The following is a 14,735-nucleotide window of genomic DNA, read 5'->3' as shown; positions in this document are numbered from 1 at the left end:
GCCACACGGGCCTGTCTGCATCCAACCCGAGGGATGGCCGGCGCCTCTCTCCCTCCCAGGGACCCAGGTTGTCCATGTACCGGGGCTGGGTCCCTGTGGGGCCGGGCCCCCATCCAGGGCAGTGATGGTGCCCACAGGCTCAGAGCCTTCCTCAGGGCAGTGGTGGCTGGGGCTGGTCACGAGTTGTCCCTCCCATAGTGCTGGGTCCAGGTGGCAGATAGGTCCCTCCGCCCCAAGCTGGGGTCTGCACAGGCCTGTAGAGTCATGGGAGGGGGCCAGAGAGGAAATCAAAGAAATGAAGTGGGCGGCGAGAGGCCAGGTGGCCACGCAGCTGTCTTCACAGGCGGCAAAGAGGACCCCTTAGCATCTTCCCCCTGGCCTCAAAAGTGCTTGTGGAGCCTTCACTACGACTAACACATGACAAGATGCCCCAGGAACCCCAAGCTTGCCAGTCCCTCCTCCTCCATCCACAGACAGGGCCTCAGCTCCCAGGGGCTGCAGACCAGAGGTGTGTGACACACACCTGCACTCTGGGCCTCACTATTTAGAAAAAAAGAATAAGCCGGACGCGGTGGCTCAAGCCTGTGATCCCAGCACTTTGGGAGGCCGAGGCGGGAGGATCACCTGAGGTCAGGAGTTCAAGACTGGCCTGACCACAATGATGAAACCCCATCTCTACTAAAAATACAAAAATTAGCCGGGCGTGGTGGTGCACACCTGTAATCCCAGCTACTCAGGAGGCTGAGGCAGGAGAATCCTTGAACCCGGGAGGCAGAGACTGCAGTGAGCGGAGATTGCGCCAGTGCACTCCAGCCTGGGTGACAGAGCAAGACTCCATCTCACAAAAATGATAATAATAATACTAATAATAAAGTTTCAAATGTCATTTGCTTTGCTGAGAAGAAAGAAGGGGTGGAGAGAGGAAATGAACCCAGCTCAAGTTGGGGAGGCCACCTGCTGGGACTGGGGCGAGGGGCTGGTGCTTGGAGCCCTACTGCCTGAGGGTCCTGCTGTCCCGAGTCCTGACACCTGACGAAGTCCTCAGCCCGGACCCATGTCCACACTTCCCGGCACGGTCCCGCACACCCAGGGGTCCCTGTGTCTCAGCCAGCAAAAATCAGAGCCCGGAACACTCGGCCCCCGAGGGGCTGCAAACCAGCGACTCCCCCCGGCCCAGCACTGCGGTTGCCACAAGGTCTCCCTTCTTACTTTCATTTTAAATGACAGGCGACTGAAAAGACAGAGCTCAGGCTTCCATGGGTGCCCGCGGGTACGAATTCTCCAGCCCCTATGTGATCTCATCAGCAACACAGCCCGAATCCTGCATCCCAGCAAATGCATCGGATTCCCTTATGGAAAAGCTGTTGCCGAGAGATCAGCATCGCACCTGGGTGCCCCGGCCAGGGGGCAGTTGATGTGGTGGCAGCTCAGGGTCTGGCCAGCCATGCCGGTCCCTTGCCTGGGCTACCCTCCGCAGCCTGTAACACCAGGGCCCCAGCCAAGGCCATCCATCAGTTTCCCCTCCTGGACCCCTTTGCCCCTTCCAGATGCCTCCCCTCACAGCTTGGCGGGCAGGGAATTCTATAAACATCTGGGCTTCCAGTTAATACGGTCCACATCCAGGTAATTACCCGCTCTCGGGGGAGCACGAGGCTTGGGAATCCCAGGCGTTCCGTTGCCTGTGCGCACCCTGGGGTCCGCACACTGGGAACATACACGGCAGTGGCAGCCTGTCTTCCCTGAAGCCTCAGACTCTGCTCAACGTCTGGGTGCCACACGCCTTTGGATGACGCCGCAGGTGAGGAGGATCCCTGTGCTTTTGTGCATCCCGTTCGACGGCGCCTGCCCCGAGACCAAGGAGCAATGCCAAAAGGTCAATTAAGGCTTTGATGGAGCAGCTGAGGACCACACTGTCGGGCCATGTGCAGGAGGGCCCAGCTCAGGTCTCTGGCAGGAGCCAGGGAGGGCCGGTCCCCACCGCACCCCCGGGACAGGGCTCCCCGTGTTCAGCTGCTGCTTGTTAGCACAGCCAGATGTTTTCACTCGATTTTGCAAATCTGCTCCAGGTCTAAGACATCGCTGTTTGTTCTAGAAATCAAAAGGTCTTGGCTGGCTGTGAAAGACGCTTGACTGACAGCTGCCCCCAGCCCTGGCCCCAACCTCTTCCTGGAAGACCAGACCCCGGAAATGGCCCTGGACGGGGGGAGCCGATGGAGGCTGGGGCAGCTCCGTTTCTCACGAGCTTGGTTTTCAGAAGTGCTCCCAGCTCCTGCGGGGTGGATGGGTGTGCTTGGCACGGGCCAGAGTGCGACCCCATGGCTGACGAATGCACAGTGCGGCCCCACGTTTTCGGAAACGCGGTGCACCATGAGTGTTCTCGTTCCAGGCAGGCCTGAGGGCCAGAAAAGGTAAAAATCCCCTACCGTGGGCAGCACATGCTTCCGCACAGAACGGGTCAGGTGGCATTCTCTCTTGGGGTCCATCTGACCGACTGAAGGCCGCCCCCACCCCAACTGAGACAGTGAGAATGCATCTATGCTTCCTGAAAGTTCTGAATTTGTCCCACCTTCTCTGTCTATGTCTGTTTCCCTCTCTGCTTCAAATATCAAGACTGGCAAAGCACAACAGAAGAAGGCCATTTCCACAAAATGTATCATCTCCTTAACGAGCCACTGTGGCCACATATGATTAATGCCACCACGTTGTGGCCCGCCCTGGGCTTTCTGACTCCCATCCTCGCAGGTGGGGCGGCCCAGAAGGGTCCGGGCAGAGGCCTGGCCGGGCTTTGATATCTCACTGATAACGTATTGTACAATTAGATCAATTTGACAATTTCCATTATGGCTGATAAAATATTTATTGAGCCTTGGAGATGATGTCTGATCTCTGCGCCATTTGTTCTGCTAATGCGGGGAGACCGAGGAGGCTGCAGACAGCGCTCAAGCCGGCTCCCCCGTCCCTCCTCCCCATTAGGTTTGCAAATTGCAGGCACCAGTCATAAATTACCGCCCAGCCCAGCGAGATTGATGCTGAGCTGACAGGGCAGGTAGGTGACTTGTGATGACATTGTTTCATAGAAGCATTCATCACGGCAGAAGGAGAAAATACCCCCAAATTGGCCCATAAGTCTAAATATCAGGGATGAGAAGCGGGCGGACGGAGGATGGTTTTACCGAGAGCTGGAAATTGGGGAATGAAAAACATTTTCTATTATTTAACAAATCATCTTAATAATGTCCAGTGTTTTCCCCCAGAGTTCTGGGAGCCAAGGGAGCAAGGATCCACCTTGCCTGTGCCCTCTTGCCATTGGTGATGTTGATAAAACCCAGGGACATGGGGACTCCTCTGGCTCTGGGTTTCCATGCTGGGGAAAAGGGATCCGTATCGGGAGTAAAAGCCATGTCGTGCCCCTTCTCCGACCGCCTGCTTCTCCAGGGGCACCCACGCCAGCTCCGGCTTTTCTTCTGCGGGATCAATGTGGATGACGGTTTTGCCGAGGGAAGCCCATCCGTCGTACCATGGAACGCAGGATGCGGAAACGGAGGCGGGACCCCTCATGGGCTGTGGGGGTCTGGGATGCAGAGAGGGACGCGTGACTGTGGCCCCACCCTCACACCTGGGAGGCCAGGCAGCCCATGCACCCCCCATACGCCTTCTAGGAGCTGCCTGGTGGCGACGCTGTCCCGGTTTTTACAGCCCTGAGCTCAGCTCTGAGGGTAAAATATCGCTGCAAAAGATAAATAGCCCTTAATGAATTGCTCCTGAGTTAGAGAGCCAACGTGGTTTTAATGGCAAATGAAAAATAAACACATCAGCGAGGGAGTGGAAACCATGGTCGGGGCCGGTTCTCTGCAGAGACAGGCGAGGGGTGGGGGTCAGAGAGCTTGGGCTCCGGATCACCTGTCCCTTCTCGGAGGCAAACACCTCCCAGCCCCGTCAAGGCCTCTGCGCTCATCCTGAGTTGGGGGCCCTATGTGAGACCCCCGTAGCCACATCTCGGCTCAGAAGGCTACAGTGCAGAGTAATTAAATCAAATTGATGCTGTCCCTGGGCTGAGGCCACCCTTGATTTAAGGCCAGAAAGGGAAGCAATTACATTTAATAAAAACCAGGTTCCTAAACAAAAATGCGTGGCAACGGCCATCCGGGGGCTGCATCCGCCGGGGGAGCGGGGACCACTTCGGGTGCTGCCGATGTTGGATTAAAAGTGAAAGAAATGATCGCTTCCCAAAGCCGCTTTTCTAACATGCTGGTTTAAAACGCCAGTCTCGCTCGTGACTTTGTCAAAATCCAGAGCCCGCGGTCCATTCTCCGAGGGAGATGCGTCGCCGGGGCTGACTGCGGGAACTCCAGCCTGCCGTGTTTGTCTGGCAGGCATGATTAAGAGTGGGCTGTCAGGGCTCAAGGTCACGGCACATGGCCCCCAGCCAGAGCCCGGCGAGGGGACAGCTCTGAACCAGGGAGGAGGAAAAGAGGTGGCTGGGTGTCTTAGGACCGTCTTTCACCTACTGCTACCCCCACCAAACCACTCTCAGCCTGGAGCTCCTTCCCTTTGACGGGAGCAGCTCCCTTTCCTGCTAACAGGACCAGGGTCAGGTGCATGGGCTTCCGAGGTGACGCCCTCCTGGCCAGCAGGCCACAGCTCTCACAAAGTTCTCTGCACAGAGATGAGAAAAAAATCACAGCCGGGCCCCGGAGAACAGGAACCACGGCAACCCACAGATATTGTAACAATGCTTGGCATTATTCGCGATGGCATTCATGGTGACAGAGAGCAGGCAGTGCCCGAGCACCCCCGGATGCGGCACTGCTGGGCTGAGCGCCTGGGTCTGCAGCCCCCGAGGGACCCCGCCCCTGCCAGCAGCTCTGTCGTCTGCTCTCCCAAGGGTGCTCAGCACCCACAAAAGCAAGTCGCCTGCTATCAATCTGGGGCCAAGGGGCACGTGATTCGTTATTAAGCCTCAGTCTCTGCACCCCAGGGTCCCAAAGGGCAGCCCCAGCCCTGCTCTTTCCATGGGTCTCATCTGCACGGCTCGGCTCCAGGAGGAAGGAAGGCAGGTGCAGAAGAATCTCTGCGTGCCGTGTTCCAACACCCCCAGTTCCACATAGGGGAGGCCCGGTGGCACCAAGTGGAGCTAAAATGTGGGTCCCCCTCTCCCCGATGAAGCAACCGTCCGCTCTGAAACGAGAACCTGAAAACTCGTCCACGTGTGTCTGCGTTTAGATTGATCAACAAGCGTAAGTCATGGAGACAAACTGGACCCCTGCAGACCTGGCCCCAAGCCCCCACTGAAGCCTCTCCCGAGAACAGAAGTCCCATTATCTTATCCCAAAGGTCAAAGTTGAACGCCCACAGCACACAGGAAAACTGGCCGAGGGGGAGGTGAGAGGCCAGCGCAAGGAACGGCCTCATCCCGCCTCCCTCTTACTGAAGTATCCAGAAAACAGCAACACACCCGGTACATCACAAGATGGCAGCTGCACCAAGCCCAGGGAAAGCCGGCTGTGTGCCCTCATGCAGGGGCGCCTGGCTCCCTCCAAGGCCCCCTCCTCACACGATGACCAACGTGACCCTGAGCATGGCGGGAATACCTGAGTGTTGGCACCCACCGGTCTGAGCAGGAAAGCCTTCTGGAACTTTCTGGAACGCTGTCTTGCCCCACTCCCAAGGTGCTGGTACCATATTCAGAAAGGAAGGGGCTCTGACAAGATGGCAGGCTCCCTCAGTTGCCTTCCAGCCAAACTTTGCCCACCTCTCCCAAACACCTCCAAGTACCAGGTGAGGGCAGGTATGTCACCGGCAGCAGAAGGTGAGGGTGCCACCCCGGCGTGAAGACTTCACTCATAAGCACAGGAAAGTGAAACCTCAGAGACTGGACGGAGACCCCAACGCCGGCTCCGGGGGCACAGCCATGACACCACAGGGGGCCCAGGGTTGCTCAGGGACAGCCCAGATGCCTCCCCGCTGATGGGCTCCCCCAGTCTCAGCTTTTGTATTTACTCGATGGGTGCTGCCTCCAGCTCTCTTAGCAGTGGATGCAAAAAGGCTTGTGGCAGCCATTGTTGAACTTGAAGAAGATCCTTTCCTTTCTGCACAAAGCCACACCCCGTGGTTGCGCTGGGAGGGATGCGGCCTCTCCCCAGGATTATAGGAGGGGGACAGAAGGAAATGGCAAGGGAAGCAGGAAGTTCTCTGGAAGAGGGCTGGGGTCCCCCTGCTTTCGTGTCCCAAGAACGACAAGTTGGGCTTGCCAGGCTGGAGCCCTTCACAGGGGGAACTTACACGGGATTCCAACTCCCAGCAGGACACCCCTGCCTGGCCAGCTCTGCACACAGGCCCCTCCGAGCCCCTTGGCCCAGGGACGGACCCTCCAGCCACAGTCCAAGAGCTACTGGCCTCAAATGCATCGTGGGACATTTAGCACAAATGGGTGCCTGGCCCTGGAAACTGGCAAGCATCGGCGAGGGAGGATGGCAGGACCTGGCTCGTGAGGTCAGGGACCTCCGGACAAGCGAGGTCCCAGCCGCAGGTGCTGCGGCCCCTCCAGCTTGCAGTGCGCTCCTGTGCAGGAGGATTAGAAAGGCACTCTGCGAAGAGCAGGCATGCTCCTCCACTGTCAGGAATATTTCATCAACCTGCTGGTAGGAAACCTGACTCCCACCTTCGTGGGATGGGGTTTGCCGCAGAGAAGGAAGCCTGCCAGTGCTGCTTCTGGGAGCCACCACCCTCCTCCATCCACACAAAGCCACCTCCTCCAGGCGGTCCTCCTGGACGGTTCTTCGGGACCTTGCCACATCCAATCTGACCCCCAGTGCCTCCCCTGCAGCAGACCTTGAGTGTCCAGGGAGGGGTGCTGCTGCTGGAATGTTCTGGGACCCTAGGAAGAAACATGCAAAGGACATCGTGTCCCCTGGCAGCCACCACTCTCCCTAGCCTCTCTCTCTCACACATGATGAGGCTTTGCAGGAAGGAGGGAGACACCACATTCCTTGCTCCGAGTGACAGGCTCGCATCTAAATCTGTACCGTGTGACCCACCTCACATGCCTGCACCCGGGCCGGTGGCGGCCAGGTCAGCGTGGGGAGAAGAGCTCAGCTGCCCAGGTTGCTGTTGCAGGAAAGGCCCTGCTCTCGGTCCCTGGAAGCCTGGGCTGAGGAGGGGATGCCGGAGGCAGCCAGGGTCACCCTGTTCTGGTGGGAGTGGCTCCAGGCTGGGCCTGGACTCCCACCCCCTGCACTGTGTATCTCTGACTCTCTTTCCTCACCTGTGAAATGGGATGACTCCTTCCGAGGTCCTTTCACCCACCCCATCTGTCCGGTGATGGGACCCTGGGGGTGAGAACCCCAGGGCCAAGCCCTCTCCCTGCACCAGCCTCTCTCCAGCCCAGAGCCAGGGGCAGCAGGAGAAGCGTCCACTGTTTATAACTCCAAGTTCCAGCTGGCATCTTGGCCAGTGGGGGCTGTAAACCAGGTCAGTTCCCAGCATCCCGGACCCCCAACTGACCCAGTCACCCAGCATGGGACAGGATGAAATATTGATTACAGCTGTCTGAAGGAAGGGTTTGTATGGAGTGGGGGTGCCTGCAGCCATTAGAGAGCAAAGTGTGTGTTTACCAGGAGGGGAGAAGCAGGGGGCGGTGGGGCCAGGAGATGCCTGATAAGCCCACTCCTCTGTCCACACCCAGCAGCCAGAATTGAGGGCAAGAGAAACGACCTTTGTGGCCCCAGAAAGCAAGGGCGGCTCCACTCCCTTAGAGTCCTTGGAGCTGGCCCAGAGCCCCTGTGGACCCAGGGACTTGGGGGATCATTGCACCTCCAAACTAGAAACCGGCTTCTCCCCGCTCTGTAATTCAGGGAAACAGTGACACTGTGACACGGGAAGCCCTAGAGGGGGTCAGGCCTGGGTCCCAGCCCCAGCTCAGCCACTCTAAGGCGGGGACTGTCGGTCCATCTTTCTGGGCCTCCACTGCCTCGTCTGTAAAATGGACGACACCAGAGGTCCCCGGACAGCGGGTCTGAGGACTCAGTGCCTGGCGTGCCTCGCCGAGACCCCGGAGCATCGCGCGGGGCTGGCCAGCTGGGAAGTGCAGGCTGGGCAGGTTCCACTTCAGCTACGCTGCAGCCCCAGGCCCCCAACCCTATCAGCGGGGCAGCATCACCCCTGTAACGAAGGCCCAAAGCTGGTGGTCCCATGGCGAGGCTGCCCGAGACCCCCTTTCTTCCCAGGGGTGGCTCCTAGGCTGCTGGAGGAGCGTTCTGCCCCCAGCCCCGCCCCAGCCTGGTGTCCTGTGGCTCCCGGACAAAGCGAGCCAAACAATCTCCTCACACCTGGACTCTACTTCCAACTGCTGGAAAAACAAAGGGAGACGCCCAGGCTCTCCCCAGCCGGGCGCCCAGGCCGCCAAGAGGCCCCTGCCCCGCTCTGCAGCCCCAGGCTCTGTAGGCTGCGACAACAAGGAGCATTGAAGAGGAGTCTCAGGGGAGGGCGCAGGGAGACCCGGCCCAGGGAGCCACGGGGAAGGGACGGACGGTCTGGGGACGGCTGGGATCCAGCTCCGAGGAGGTTTGTCCTAAACAGTGTGAATACCTGTTTCTCGGGGTAACCCGACCCTATAATTACGCCTAAGCCCCAGCAGTGTGTGCGGGACCCACAATGCCAGTGCCCGGAAGCTGGGTGAGGAGACCCCTTAATTGTCACTGCCAGGGATGTCGCGTCAGGCGGGCTCGGGTTACCCAGGATCACAGCTGGTGTGTCACCTGCGGGCCACGGAGGGGGAGGGCTCGGTCGGGCTGGGACATAGAACCAGCGCAAGCCTGCAGCCCCTACTGGCCTTGGCAGCGGCTGCTAAGAGCTCCTGGCACGTTGAACTCACTGTGAAACCCCTTCCCAGGACGCCCGGAGCTCATTGTTTAACTCAGATAAGAAATGTGGGCTCTTGTGTTTTCTTTTCTTGAGAAAATGTCGGGCCCGTGGTCGGTGTCTGCAAGGCAGGAAGAGCTGGGTACGATGAAGGGCCTCACGTGGCCCGCCCTGCCCCCACCGCAGACCTCCCTGAGGCCCCCTACCCTGCCCATGGGGCCACCATGGCCAGTCCAGCCCGAAGCCAAGGGGTGGTGGCGGAGCCTGGGGCCGACTGGGCTGACTCGGGTTCACTGGTGGGGACCAGGCTGGACTCTTGGAGCTGCCTTGCTGTTTCCTGGGGTGCTCCGCAGCCCCCCAAAATAAAGAGCGAGCTCCCGAGGAAAGTGCCCTTCCTTCCAGAAGCCCCTGACCCGGGGGTGGCACCTTCCAGAAGCCCCTGACCCGGGGGCAGCAGCACGCGGACCAGGAGGGCCTCCCAGGCCCAGCCTGCGGGTGGCCGGCAGCTCCCCGGCAGCTCCCCTACCAGGCCAGCAGCTCGGCCGTCTAATCCCCGGCTAATACCCGGCCCGATCCCCTCGCCGGGCTCTCAGGAGGTGGGCTCCCGGGTGTCCCACGCGGGTTCGGGTGGTCAGGCCCCTCTGCCAAACAAAAGGCCGCCTGTTTGCCGCCTCTGCCTCAGCTAGGCTTAAGGACATTTTTGTCATTTTTGACCAGCTAATGTCTTGGAAAAGAAAAATAAGTTGTCTAATCGCTTTAAGTTTAATCTTCACTTTCTGAACACTCTAGGTGCCGATGTTGACTTTTCTGGACCAATTAGGTCAAGGTCCTTCAAGCCGCCACGGTTAACTCCGGAGCTTTTCACGGTTCTTTTTCCTATTTCCCCTTCCAGGGGGAGGCGGGCTCCACGCGCCCTCGGAGTAGGTCTAAGCAGGACGGGGCTTCCCAGGAGTGCACAAGGGTGCGAGTTCTGATGCCAGAGGCTGTGCGGGAGGGGAGGGCAGGAGGGGGTGATGGGCATGAGCGTGGCCCCTCGGCCCCAACTTTGGGGGCATCTTCCTGACTTTGGGGGCATTGGCCCCCGCCCAGCCCATGCCCGTGCCATGCCTGCTGCCCAACTGTCCGTCCCCAGGCCTGCGTCTCCTCTGCTGTCCACGTCCTCTCTTCAAGAATCAAGCGGGGCACTATGTTCCAGGGAAGCTCCGTCCCCCAGCTGAATGGCGCTCCGGACAGCTCCACACAATCCCCTCTCTGTGGGAGCCTCTGTGTAGAGGCTTCCCCTTCCCACTGGACATCAGCGCCGGGAGGTGCTGATCTCCAAGGTCCCAGCAGGAGCCCAGAGGTGGTCCTGAGCCCAGGCCTCCTGCTCCCGACACAGCTGGACGGTTCTGAACCCAGGTCTCCCACTCGTGACACAACTGGACACGCTCCCTGAACTGGACGCGCTGCCTGACCTTTTTTCCCCAGTGCTTTGCAGTCTTGGGGGAGGAAAGTAAAACTCTAGCCTCCTTCTCACACGTGTGTGCTTTGGGGCTGCTCTCAGATGGCCCTATGTTTGTTTTGAGCAAGGCGAGGTCCAACTTCCTGGAGGCCGATCATTTCTCCTGGGGGAAGGGAGGAACTGACTTATGTTCAAAAATTGTGCACAAATTCCCGCGGCGAAAGGCCCCTTGCCTGCATACCCTTGGCTCCCAGCAGGCAGCACGGGCCACTTCATGGGGCTTTCTCCCTCACATGAAGGGGAGATGGAGGAGCTGGCTCGGGCCCAGCCTTGCCAGCCCCAGCTGAACCACTTCAGAGAGCCATTAACCTCTGCAAAACGGAGTGGACAACTTCCACGTGGCTTTCTGTAGAAATCAGATGGGACTGCAAGCAATGGCACGGCCCCTGCCAAGGTGGATCTTGGTAAGGAGGAGGGAAGGTCGCTGGGCATCATTTCTGTCAGGGGCGGCCGATTGGGGAGCAGTTCTGGACAGACCCTGCCCTCCTCTCCCCATCGTGCAGGACAGACAAGAGCCTGGGTATCATCTCCAGGTGGTTCCAGGGCTGTGGCTTCGGGAGGCCGAGCCCCATGGCTCTGCCCTCTGCTGAGAAGATCCCCTCTGAACACAGTCTTACAGGAACCTCCCCCAGGCCCACAGCCCCGAGGTGCCTCCCTCGCCCTGGGAGAGTCTGGCATGGTTTGCGGTGGGAAAAGCAACCCCTGGATTTTCCTGTAGGAGCCTCCAGAAGAGACATGGGCAGAGACCTCCCTGGTCTTCCTGCAGCTCCTGCCCTGGAACCTGAGTCTCCCAGGCATCTGACCAGCTGCACTCCACCACCAGAAGCCGGTTACCACCGTCCTTCGGGCTTTGTCCTGGAGGGTGCGGGGCTGGTGTGGACCACTCAGTCTGGCAGTGACCACCACCCAGTCAGAGGCACGGCAGAACGCACCTGCTGCACGGACGCTGTTTGAACTTCTTCAAAACGTGGTGCAGTGTTTCCTGAAGACATTTACCATCCTTGGCAGTTAAATACAGCACAGTGTCAATTACAGGTCCATCTTCTGTAAGTCTGGGACAGATTCACAGTATCTGTGTTTGCACGAGGCTGGGGTTCCGGGTGAGTGGACCGGCTGGATGGCCCTGCCCAGCCACCCTGACGAGGGCTTTTTATCTAACCCTGCCCCACCCAGTCCCCGGGGAATTCCTAATCAGATGTGTTCAAAAACTGCTGAACCAAATAAGGGTCACTTTACTTCCAACATAATTTCTATTTTAAATGAATCGTCTACTCTCTCTTGGGAGGCAGAGGTGTTGACTTCTCGGGCAACAGTATGAACCGGGTGGCTCTAGAACATTCTGGACCTCATGGGGGCTCCAGATCTGTCAGAGAGACCCCTCGGTAAGGAGGAAGGAAGGTAATGGGGGGTGGAGGGGAGAGCCATTTGGAGCAGTTGAAGAGCTCCCTCTGCATTCCAGGGACTCAGGGTGAGGAACTGCCCATGGTGAGACCACTCCCTGCAGCCCATCTGCCTGGCCGGCCATGTGTGCCCCTCTAGAAGGTTCTAGAAAGTTCTGGAAGGCTCAGGCCTCCCAAGGGCCCAAGGTAGTGCTCTGACCAGGCCCAGGTCCCCTGTCCCATCCACCCTCCACCCAGCAGGCTCCGCTCCTCTGCTCACCGGACACAGAATCAGTTGGGCAGGGACCACATCCAGGTCCTGACACTTCGTAAACATCATCCAGATAATAACACGCTGGAATGGCAGAGTTTTCCTCTCCGTGGCACCGCCGTGTAACCCTTCATCCTGGTTCCAAATTTGCCTGTGCAGCCCTGAATGCAGACTGCAAACCCCAAACTCAGATAAATACGTCTAAACCTTTAAAAAGTGCCCCTAATGCCCCATTGAGCCCCTGATCGCTCATTTCCCAGCTATATAATTAGCACATAAAGAACTCTCTCCTCCGAATTAAACGGCAGTAATTGGGTTTTTTAAAAAAACTAATTTAAATCCTAAACCCTTTGAAAAAAAATTGTCATTGTTTACATATTAAACGGACTAGCATTTTAAGTATTATGGGGCTAATTTAACAGGCTTATCTAGGACATAGGCCCAGGAGGGAGGAGGAGGAAGGCAGTGGAGGGGAAGCAGGCGGGTCCCAGGAGAGCTGCCTGGAGACCCCAGGGCAGCGTCACTGCAGGACGCAGCCTGGGCCACGGCCTCCCCTGTGAGGTTTGCGGGGCCTGGAGCTGCGGCCTGCACCACACCATCACCTCAGCCTCAAATGGGGATGCCTCAGCTTATCACCATGCAGCGGACAGACCAGAGGCGTGACCAACCCTCGCTTTTCCAATGGCATGCAAAAATTTTGCTCATGGTTGCTAGAACTGTCATTATTTTTATTATTATTTTTTCTGCAGTACAGGCATAAAGAAGTATAAGAGTTTTAATTATGTCCACTTGATTTTTTTTAACTTTCTGGCTAAAAAATCCTTTGAAGTAAAACCCAGCAAGAAATGGGTCACAGCTCTGTGAATGGAACTACAAAATGTGAGCGAAAGCCATTTTGATAGGAACCTTGAGAAATGGACAGCCGCCTCACATTCCTTCACAGGAAGAATTAAAGGTTATAAAGCGTCCAGTCCCCCTAACTCAAACACAGAAACATAACAATTTTACAAAATAAACCTTTTTCTAACTTGAAGAAAACAGCTCCAAAGTTTTTCTCAAAGGCAAAATAAATGCAGACAACTGGACAATGACGAGAAATGTCTGAGAGAGAGAGAGGGAGTCTTGCTTTTCTGTGAGTTTAAGTATTTGATATGGATCATCAGGATGATGAAAAAAACGAAAACAACCAAAAACTGTGGCTGCGGCACAGCTCGGAGGAAGCCAAGGGCAGAGCCAGCCACACACCATGGCGTGGCCAGAAGACAAGGGCAGGGGCCTCCCTGCAGGACCCGGTTCAAGCGTCCCTCCCGCGGTCTGCACGTCAGGATAAACACGGACGGGTCAGGTTCTCCTCCACCCCACAAACTCAGAAGGTGCTGGAACACACCTAACCTGAACAGGGCACAACCTGCAGAAGGAAGCGGCTGCGTTCTAGCCCTGAGCATAGAGCAAGGGCTGGTGGGTCTGACGCTGTGAAACCCAGAACCGTGTGCCGGCAGCAGAAAAGATAAAAAATTAAAAAAAAAAAACAGCCCCCCCACCGCCCCCGCACCAAGGAAAAGGCCATGCAGCTCACGGGGGAAAAGGGCGACAGTATTTGAGGGAATGGAGGTGACATCCGTCTGTAATGGGCTCTTGAAAATTAAGAAACTGAAGACAAACGTCCCCAAAGAGAAGGCGGCGAGTTACAGAAAGCGCAGAGCTGTGCGTGGGGCGCATGAAGCATCAGCCCTCCCCTGAAGTCCAGCAGTGTGAATTAAAATTGCACTGATGTTTCAGCGAGGAAACCTATAGACAGGGGGCAGCCCTGGGCTGCTGGGCGGGCCCTGGAGACGGCCTCTGGGGCCAACTAGGTCTCCACATGTTTCCAAAGCCCCATGGCCGCAGGAAGGGCCCACCTCTCGGCTGCCTTTGCTCCTTATCCTGGCCTCCCCAGGGCTGGTGTTGTGTTTGGTTTGGGTTTGTAGTTTGCAAAGGACACACTGGGATATGGGGCACAGTGGTGCGCTTAGACCACAGCCCTGGAGCCCCCAGCTTCTCCCCAGAACCCCACGGTCCACATCGCCTGCCCGGGGGTCCTAGGAACCCCTCTGGCAGTCGGCCTCCAGGTCTGGCTGGTCCTGCACAGGACAGGGACAGAGGGCTCTGCTGGCTTCTCACCAAGACCCAAGACTTCCTCACTAGCTGTCCCCAAGCCCCTGACCCTGGACACTGAGCACGCAGCCCAGGACCTGTTGGGGGAGCAGGAGTCTGCCCAGGGGGTCTCCACCTCCCTCTGGGGTGCTTGGGCCTCACTGTCCCAGAACAAGCCGCCTGCACTGCCCTCCCAGCCCAGCTGGTCGCCTTGGCCCATCAACGCTTTTGGATGCCCTCAGTGGATACAAATGGCTGAGACCCTGCTGGGGCCCTGGGAAGAGGGAAAGCAAAAGCGGGAAGTAGGAGAGAGAGAGACTGAGAGAGGAGAGAAAATCAGACAGAGAGAGACAGAGAGGGGGAAAGAGAATCAGACAGGCTCCTGTTGGGAGCAGAGAAATTCTTTCCTTGGAAAAAGGGGTTCTGAAACCCCAATTCTCTTTTCTCTTCCAGGGATTTCTGCTCCGTACAGGGTCTGGGCAGTGCTAGAGGAGGACCTTGCCCCTACCTGTGGCACTGAGGGCCCTTGGGCTCTCCCACGTAACTGCGGAGGACCTGGGAGAACCTGCTTCAAGGGCCCCGGGTCCCCATC

At 57.8% G+C, this 14,735-nt stretch overlaps 1 protein-coding gene across 2 annotated transcripts in view, besides 3 other annotated features; it reads right to left on the bottom strand.

The window, feature by feature from the left end:
* The window catches only part of PRDM16 (PR/SET domain 16), a 369,419-nt gene that overhangs the window by 294,285 nt on the left and 60,399 nt on the right, over nt 1-14,735 (bottom strand). The gene's annotated exons all lie outside the window — the stretch shown is intronic.
* Nucleotides 5,921-6,420: an enhancer, noted in NCBI's record as "H3K4me1 hESC enhancer chr1:3054481-3054980 (GRCh37/hg19 assembly coordinates)". NCBI's record gives its function as "activates a minimal SCP1, AML or CMV promoter by ChIP-STARR-seq in naive H9 embryonic stem cells {active_cell/tissue: H9 hESC(naive)}" and the evidence as "EXISTENCE:reporter gene assay evidence [ECO:0000049][PMID:30033119]".
* Nucleotides 7,857-8,378: an enhancer, noted in NCBI's record as "H3K4me1 hESC enhancer chr1:3052523-3053044 (GRCh37/hg19 assembly coordinates)". NCBI's record gives its function as "activates a minimal SCP1, AML or CMV promoter by ChIP-STARR-seq in naive H9 embryonic stem cells {active_cell/tissue: H9 hESC(naive)}" and the evidence as "EXISTENCE:reporter gene assay evidence [ECO:0000049][PMID:30033119]".
* Nucleotides 8,379-8,900: an enhancer, noted in NCBI's record as "H3K4me1 hESC enhancer chr1:3052001-3052522 (GRCh37/hg19 assembly coordinates)". NCBI's record gives its function as "activates a minimal SCP1, AML or CMV promoter by ChIP-STARR-seq in naive H9 embryonic stem cells {active_cell/tissue: H9 hESC(naive)}" and the evidence as "EXISTENCE:reporter gene assay evidence [ECO:0000049][PMID:30033119]".

This window comes from Homo sapiens, chromosome 1 (assembly GCF_000001405.40).
Source record: "Homo sapiens chromosome 1, GRCh38.p14 Primary Assembly".
Taxonomy (NCBI): Eukaryota; Metazoa; Chordata; class Mammalia; order Primates; family Hominidae; genus Homo; species Homo sapiens.
Note: the sequence above shows the minus strand (reverse complement) of the source record. Positions and strands in the feature narration are given on the sequence as shown.